Here is a 9,564-nt window from a genome sequence, read left to right on the forward strand (position 1 = left end):
CCTTATTGATTTTCTATCTTTTGTATCTTATTGTTCTATTCCCTATAGAAAGTACAGTATTGAAGATTCCAACTAGGATCTTTTTTTTCTTCAATTATGTCAAGCTTTGCTTCATAGATTTTACAGCTTTGACATTATGTACACGTGTGTTTTATAATGATAAATCTTCTTAGTGAATATTTCAACCATTCTCATTTAGTGCAGCAAGATCAATAAGATGATCTTTCAGTGCCTCTCTTCAATTTCGTGAGAGGAATAACCTAGTCAAAGTAAGGAGACACATGAAAATAGGGGGAAAAAAAGGAATATAAATTGAGAAGCAAGAAAAATGCTGTCTTTTACAGAAAATAAGAAGACTAATATAATTACTTGCCAAGGTTGTTCAATACCAGTAATATAAATTCCTTGAAGAGCAAGAGTGATTGGCATCCAAATTGCTGGTAGTGGTCAGCTCTTCCTTTATGATAGGAATAAAGAGACTAAGATGAGTGCAGATGTTATAGTATTTGAAATAAGAAGTTTTGCAACTTTCTTTTTGAATGCTTCTATTTTTCCTTATGAAGTTGCATGCTTTCAGTAAGCATGGAGATATAAAGAACTGAAAGTTGAAAAAGAGAACATTTGAAAAATTACTATAGAATGTGAAAAAAATGATCAAAAATGTAGGACAAGTTAAAGGTGACTTTTCTGAGTTTATAGCAGAAAATATCAACATTTTATGTGAACTTTTATATCAACGTAAGTCACTTGAATACAGTCAAAGATAAAGACTGGATGCTTAAAATCATACAGACTGAAACTTTTGCTGGCAGAAATTGAGAAAAAGAAAGAGAATGAATACACTTTTGCATAAAAATAAAAGTATTACTGTAATGATAGACAAGAAAAACTAAAAGAAGCTTGAGAAAAATGAAGAAAAAGAAGTAGGTTTTGAATGGGAAAAAGTGGAAATGTCAGTAAACCACAATGTATCTCGAGATCAAAGAGTAGTTATACTATGTTACATTGCAAAAGTTAGAAGAAGTAAACCTTTAATTAGTGATATTCTTATCAAACAGTTACATGGTCTAGAATGTAATTATGGGTGTGGGTCACTGAAGTCTATGACCATTAAACCTTAGCAATATTCTACTTAAACATAGGAAAAAGGCACAATAATACTCATTCTGATATATTGATTAGACATTGTATTAGATGTCCTAGCAAAGCATTACAATAAATATGTATATAATTTAAAAGTTACATACAGAACTCATTATTTGTATTTGTCTCCATATAAACTATGAACACTTTATTATTTTTTTTTTGAAATAATTATAGACTTCAGCCAAAGGGTTGAATATATGACTAATACACCAAAAAAAAGTTCATTTCGCTGAGACAGGGCTGTATTTTGTTCTGTTTGCTGCCCAGAAAATAGAGGCCTGTGTTTCCATTTCTACATCTTTCATGTGAACTAGTTGCTTTCTATCTGAAAGCCAAACTATATCCCTTATTTAGTATTGAAAGATCATTTATTTTATTTGCCATATTCAAAAAGTTTTAGAGTAAAGAAAATTAATAGAAGTAACTTATTCAGGTATCTTTATTTTAGGAGAGTAACTAAAATATACGGTGTGAAGAAAGTAATTAAAATAATTACATGTTACTATTTATTAAGGTACTTCTCAATCCCTTTAATTTCATTTCCATTAATTAATATGTCTTGTGATTTATGGTCTACCCATAAACGGCCTGATATTAATCAGGATTAGCTGTTAAACTAATGACTAATTCACATATATAATATAGACAGTTCTGTAAGTAGATAATGATGATTACCAGCTACACAAACATTTGTAAAATGAGTGAATTTCAAGGTAAAACTTTTGAAATGATAAGAATAATTTTTACAGAATGTTCTGTTAAATTATAATAAACTTATATTAAGATTACACTTTTCATTTCTCTCTGTATTATTAAAATCCAATTTACCATAAAAGAACCATCTGTTTCAAAAATAAAAATAATATAAGTAACAAACTCCTTGGTGTGTTCAATTTCTATCCAGCTGTAACACATTATGAAAGCATTTTTATAAAGAGTATGATGATTACATTATGAATTAGTCTACCTAAACCTTTAGGGCAGATTTATCTACATTTTACTGTTATTTAAAAGATGTTCAAACTAGGTATATTATTTGGAGAAGAACCCCTACATTAGCTAAAAATTCTAATTTTATATAATAATATTAAATAAGACACATTTACTGAAAATAAGAAGACATAAAATTTCTTGTCAAGATTTGGCTTGAAAAACTTGCTCAAAATTTAAGAAAATAAATTTCAGAGATGAAAATGAAAGCAAGCTTGATGTATTCCAGCAAGAATCAACATAACTATTTTTCCTAGGCCTTTCATTAATTCCAGGGGGCAGTTGAAGTTTTATTCACTACTATCTGTTGTTGTTCACCAAGAATTCATAGCATGTACTCTATTCTCTACAGTTAAAAAAAAAAGACATTTTGTCACTGTGGAGTCTCTTATTGAGAAAAATGTTATTAGCATTTTAACTTTTCTTTACAATTTTTATGATATCACAATAGCTTACTAATTTAATATTATTGTTGCAGATTGGGGTGTCCCTGTACAGATGGACTTAATTCATAACATGACAAGGAAAGGGGAGGGAAAAGAAGAGGTATAGCAAGAGGGAAAGGGATGAGATTCAGATTTCCTGAGACCACATTTTGTCTTCTAAATATGTGATACTGGGCAAAGTTTATGATCAGTATGTGTCATAGTAGACTTGCCTATAATAGACAATAATAATAGTGTCTGAAGATGTATTGAACTAATAATGTACATCAGTGCTTAGGAGATTGCCAGAAATATTTAACTACTAGATAAATGTCATCTTTTAATTAGTAGATGTAGTTGTGGTAGTAGATGTAGTATTAAGGGTCGTATTCGCCCCAGTAGAGGCACCTACCTGGGAAGACACATGCCAGGAAAGGCAAAGGTGACCAAACCAATGTTACCTCCTTTGTAGTTGTGCCTGGTGCTGGACCTGTGACTTTTCTCCCCATGGAGCATCCCTACAACAACAAAACAAACAAACAAACAAAAAGAGAGCAGTATTCTCCAACTTCTGTACCTACAAATAGGTTAACAAATAGGCTAGTTGGCTGTATCTATTCTGAGGACTCTAGTTTCTGCAAACAATATACAAAATCTGGGAAGGTGTTATTATTTTCCACTTTTGTTGCAGGTTTAAGCTAAGCTCTCCTAAGTAACTTCATTAAAGTAAAATTACTGGCAAATTGTTACCACTAATAAAGAAAAAAATGTAATTTCTTATTTGCTTCTGAATTCTATTCTCTACCACTAAGAAAGTAGATGATGAGAGGGTGAGAAGTATTAATTTCCTGTAATGGTATACCTCTTTTATGGCAAGCCTCCCATTATTTTTCTTTTATATTTCTTAAATAACTTCATAGTACCCACATTTTCTTTTTCAGAATAATGTGAACATTGGCTTGAACATACCCCTGCACCTAGAACCGTAACCAAAAATATATATAATATTATCAGCACTCTAGGTATTATCCTTATTTCCCCTTTCAGTCACTATATCCGGCACCCAAGATTGACCTCTCTCATGACTTCTAACATCTTAGACACATTTTGCCTATTTTGTAGGTTTCTGTCAATGGAGCTGCATATATGCACTTTTGCATAAGATTTCTTTTGGTTGCATGTAGTTATATGTCATTTCTTTTTATTACCAGATTGATATGATTTGGCTGTGTCCCCACCGAAATCTTAACTTGAATTGCAATCATTCCCTTGTGTCAAGTAGGGGGCTAGGCGGAGATAATTGAATCACGGGGGTGGTTTCCTCCATACTGTTCTTGTGGTAGTGAATAAGTCTCATGAGATCTGATAGTTTTACAAATGGGAGTTCCCTGGCACAAGCTCTGTTGCTTGCTGCCACGTAAGATGTGCCTTTGCTTCTCTTTTGCCTTCCACCATGATTGTGGGGTCTCCCCAGACATGTGGAACTCTTGAGTCAATTTAACCTGTTTCCTTTATAATTACCCAGTCTTGGGTATGTCTTCTTTATTAGCAGCATGAGAACAAACTAATACACAGATAGTATGCCATTTTGTGACAATAGCAAAATATTCTATTGATGGACATTTGGATTATTTCTAGGTATTGTTTCTCTAAACATTCTAATATATGTATTTGGTGAATGTATGTATGCATCATAATTAGATATTACATTTGGAGTAAAAATAGTGGGCAACATGTATAGCTAAGTAGATACTGACAGAAATTTATCAAGAGTGATTATATCAATATATACAAGTTATGGTTACTCTATATCCATGCTAATACTTGTTATCATTAGGCTTTTACATTTTTACCAGCAAAATGATTAAACCTATATCTAATTGTAGATTGAAATTGAATCTTCTCATTTGTAATGCATTAAACACCTCTCATATATTTGTTATTTAATAAACTCTAAAGTATTATTTGGAGAAAATAAAGATATTGTTCTTTTCTGATGGTTACTATTGTGAATATGACCATAATTTTCAAAAAAAGTTAACGTAGTTTTGCAAAGTGTTAAAGTGAAAATATTGGGCTGTCATGGTGGCTCATGCCTGTAATCCCAGCACTTTGGGAGGCAATGGCAGAAGGATCACTTGAGATCAGGAGTTTGAGACCAACCTGGGCAACATCGCGAAACTCCGTCTCTACTAAAACTACAAAAATCAACTGGGCATGGTGGTACACACCAGTAATCCCGGCTACTCAGGAGGCTGAGGCAGGAGAATTGCTTGCACCAGTGAGGTGGAGGTTGCAGTGAGCCGAGACTGCACAACCGCACTCCAGCCTGGGAGACAGAGCAAAACTATGTCTTAAATAAATAAAACAATAAAATAAAATAAAAATATTATTACCTATAATATGAAATAATAGATTAATTCTATTTGACAAATATTATAATCATTGTGTTACTGTAAATAAATGTTAGCATTCTAATGATAGGAACTTACTCAGACATTTGTTAACACCACACAAAAATATTCAGTCTCTTCTGCCATTGTTTATGTTTTTTCCTACCTACTTTTCACATCATCCCAAATCTATTATACCTATTAAAATCCTACAACTCCATTAATGCTAGTCCCAAAAGCAACAATAAAATGGAGTGTATTGCTATTTTTTCAACAGTTTTACTATTTCATTTTGTGTGTATGCAAAGAACATACTAAAATATCATTTTCCTCTACCACACTTAAAATTTTGAGATTTGGAACTAGTCATATTAATTTGCTTTATTTACTCTTGCATTGTCTGGTGCTGAATACTCCCTAATTAACTCTATTTACTTAAAGTATGTTTGGTAATTCAATTAAATAATAATGTGCTTTAGCAGTGTACAACATTATGTATTATTAGATTATTAAACAAGTGATGAGATATGTTCTCTTCCAAGAGGAACTAACAATTTTCTGCAGAGACGCACTTATACATAAGTAATTACAATAAGATGTAGGGACAATTAGGGTAGGAAAAATTATCAGAAGCTAGGGAGATTAAGTGGCAGAAGACTAAATATTATTCCATGGACGTGCCCTATTATTTCCGATGAGCTAAAGAACTTATGCTCCCACACCTGTGTCTATGGTAAGTCACTTGTCTTGATTCCACAGACTTTATCAAACCTTGGTACTTTGTCCTAAATAGATTACAACTGAGGCAAGATCATAATGCTTACATAATTTACGGATCCCAAAACTAACAAAGGTGGCCTTTCTAAAGGCTTTCAAAAGTTACTGATACCTAAGTTATCTAGCTAAACTAGAATAGGTTAAAAATCATTACTAAAAATAGATGAATATGTAGTGTGACAGGTCCCCTGTGAGATTACTAAAGTATGTATGTCCACTGCCTGAAGTCTGAAGGCCAGGCAGTGGGAAAAAGCCATGGTACCCAGCCAAAGAGCAAGTGTCCCCGAGAACCTAAACATCCAGAGCCTATCTGGGAGCATTCCAAGGGAGGAAACAGTCCCATCACACACACACACACACACACACACACACACACACACACACACACACACACACACACACACAACAGAAAGAGCCAGAAAATTAGCTTGAAAGCAGCTTAGGCATGGTAGGCAGCATGGATCTCCAAAGCTATCCTGCTGCTGTCCAGGAGAGCCTCATATGTAAGTCCTCAGTTTTAGTAAACTCCTCTACTCAGCAAGCTGGACTTGTCCAAGTCATTCTTTGGTCCCTCAGTTCCCTGTCAATATGGGGAAAGGTTTTGTTTGTTTGTTTGCTTGTTTTTAAATAGAATGCTGGGTTTTTCTCATTACTGTTGGTGTCACAAATAAGATCTGAGAGACTAAAAGAGAAAGGAGCATCTGTGGGAGGAATCTTGGGTGGTTGGCAGCATGCATGTGGGGTGGAGTTGCCTGGCTGCTTAACCTTTGTGGAATGCTAGGTAAGTATGGGAATACTTGGAAAATGTGGGCAGAGACTGGGCGCCTATTACAAGAAGATAAGATATTAAGGTACAAAAGAATAGTAAATGCGCTATTGTTACAATAAGGCTGGCTATGGAAAAATCATTAGAGCAGAAAAGAGAAAAAATAGAAACTCCTGCAGAAGTTGAAAGGCATGCTAGGTTTTCTACGACTCCAGCTAGTCACATATTATGGCCCTGGCGTGTGCAAGTTTATTTTTTAAAAATTTCTTCGTCTGTTCTGGTAGACAAAGATATCTTGTGCATGTTTTAAAACTGATGGGCAAATTACAACAACAAAATAAATTCAGAGCTCAAATGGTTAATCTGCAACTGTAGAGTTAAGTAGAGTGTTCTAAAGCTATCTGTTTCTCTTTCATTTTCTGCCTACTTTGAATCTGCTGTTATTAAGCTACCAGGGTTGAGATAAAACTCACTCATTCAAGGCAACTTGGAGGTTTTCTTTTTCTTACTTCAACCAGTTCTACTAAAATGTAACAACGAAACTCATTTGGAACTGAAGGAAAGAAAAGATAAAAGAGTTGTTTTGTTTGTTTGTTTGTTTACATATCAAAGTGCCATGGAATATACTTTATCCAAAATTTTGATCCATGTCTTTCCTTGGATTACCTGTCAGGGCAAATAAAGTTTAGCCATATATACAAGTCCCAATTTTGTAAAAAATAATTTGAAAACAGCCGTCTTTAGTAAAATAATGAGTTTGCGATATTGTCTCATGACTAGAGTTCTGAGGTAAAAGCTCTTGGATCTTTGAGGGTGTGTGTGTGTGTGTGTGTGTTTAGATGTGTTTAAGCATATGTACATGTATTATGTTATTTGTTGTTTCTAGAATGCTACCAACTTGGCTTGTAAATACATGAATACTCAAGTAAGTCCAAATGATTTTCAAGTTCATGTGAATTCACTAATCTTTGGTAAATAAACTGGCTTTAAAATTATTAGTAAAATAAACATAAAACTATCTTCAAAAGCGTTAACATATATTTTGGTGTTTACTGATTATATAATTTTTATGTTTTTCTCTACTAAATATTTTATGATGTTAAGCTTTGACATAAAGTTTATAGGACTATAAACCCAGCCAAAAACAGAGTAACATTTGTTTTTTGTGTTTTTCATAATTAAAACTAATTTGATGTTGTTGATTTAATAAAACAGCTAAATTTTCTGAGTTATCAGCCAAAATGGTCATGTGTTTAAGGTTCTTGCTTAAATGAATACCTAATATTTACAGATTATGAAAATGATTAACAAAAAGTAACCTGAAATAATGACTAGCTTTGTCTAATGTTTTGGTTGTCATGAATAAACTAGGTAAACAGCTAAAAAATAAATAAAATTATTAAATTTAAATGAGATAAATTCTTGTGGGTAGACTTTTTGTGTCTTAAAATCTTAAAATTATTACAGGTACCCATTGAATTTCTGGGTCATTTCTAATTTAAGGAGGGTTTTGATATGGTGCCTTAATCACATTTCTGAGCCTGTTATTAAAAAATAAAATCTGTGTGTGTGTGTGTGTGTGTGTGTGTGTGTGTGTGTGTGTGTGAAACATTGGCAGACCTCAGCGAGCTGGATAAAAGGAAGGACTGAGGCCATAATGTAATCAAAGAACAAAAAAAGGGATGGGCCAATGGGTGCCTGTACACTTGCTGTGGCCCAGGCAGGTAATGAATGCGAACAATACTGCTTGCCAGGGGCACATTCTAAAATCACCCACACAATCTAGGGGCCACACTGCTATAACACCCTTTTGTATTAAAAGTCTCTAGAGATGCCATAGGCATCAGTTGTTGTTTGTGGCAAAAATAACCAATAGGAATGGTACCTATATGGTTTTGGCCTCAATTATGGAAGGGGTAGAATCTCATTGTACAGTCTTAGAGCAACAGCTGTTGGCCATGTATAAGCCATTGCAATGAGCAGAGGCCATCATATGAGGCAGATCATCACAGTAAAGATTGCTTGTACTATAAAAGGATGAATAAAAGACCTCCTAGCCAAGCCCACTTCTGGTGTGGCACAAAACACACCTTGCAGAAATGGCGCACCTGTCTACTAAAAAGAGATGTCTTGTCCACCAGTCTTTTAAGTCAGGCACTACAGGAAGTGCTCTGACCCATCCACTCTGAACAAGTAGAAGGGACAGACATGGAAGTGGAGCCACCTCTCAGGCAAACCATCATATATGATGGGATCCCACCAATACCCACTAGTGCCTGGTACACTGATGGGTCTAGCAAAGGCACTCAACACTAATGGTGAGTTGTCATGGTGCAAGCTATGGGCAGTTTGGATACTCCTCACCCATGAGCCCTGGTCACTAGTCACTTGCACAATTGGGCTACATACAAAAGCCTTACCATGTGGATCAATCAATGGCCCACAGACATTTGGCAGGTTTTCATCAGGCCCCTTTGTGGAACGTCCATGTGGCAGGACATCCACATCAAGTTACACAAGAAGGATGCCTATCTTACAGTGTACCATATGGATGCACACAGCTCCAAGTCACCTTGAGTAAATCAGGAGGTAGATGCCCTTACTCATGTGCTGGCAATTTGCCCAAGCCTATTGGAGGAGCCCACCATATGGTTACATCATAAGAGCGACCACTAAGGGGCAGCCATGGGATGGGCCATAGCAAAGGCAGCAGGCATCCTTATCAAATATGCAGATATTCTGGCAACTTTTCTGAACTGGGAAGACTCGTTCATGGCTATGACCTAGAAAATTTCCCTCCTCACCAGGTTACATATGTTGAACTGTACAATCTATGCAGGACTGGCAAGTCGATTATGTCGGCCCCCTGCCCCACAGAGGAGGGACAAGCTATGCCTTAACCTGTGTAGCCACAACAACGGGGCTACTTACAGACCTTCCCGGTAAAACATGCCATTCACTCACTGTCATGCACTCTATGCCAAGAAGGATAGGTAGTGATCAGGGCCCCCATTACATGGGCCATGATGTCTAACACTGGGCAATGGAATAAGACATAGACTGGAGG

This window comes from Homo sapiens, chromosome 5 (genome assembly GCF_000001405.40).
Source record: "Homo sapiens chromosome 5, GRCh38.p14 Primary Assembly".
NCBI lineage: Eukaryota > Metazoa > Chordata > Mammalia > Primates > Hominidae > Homo > Homo sapiens.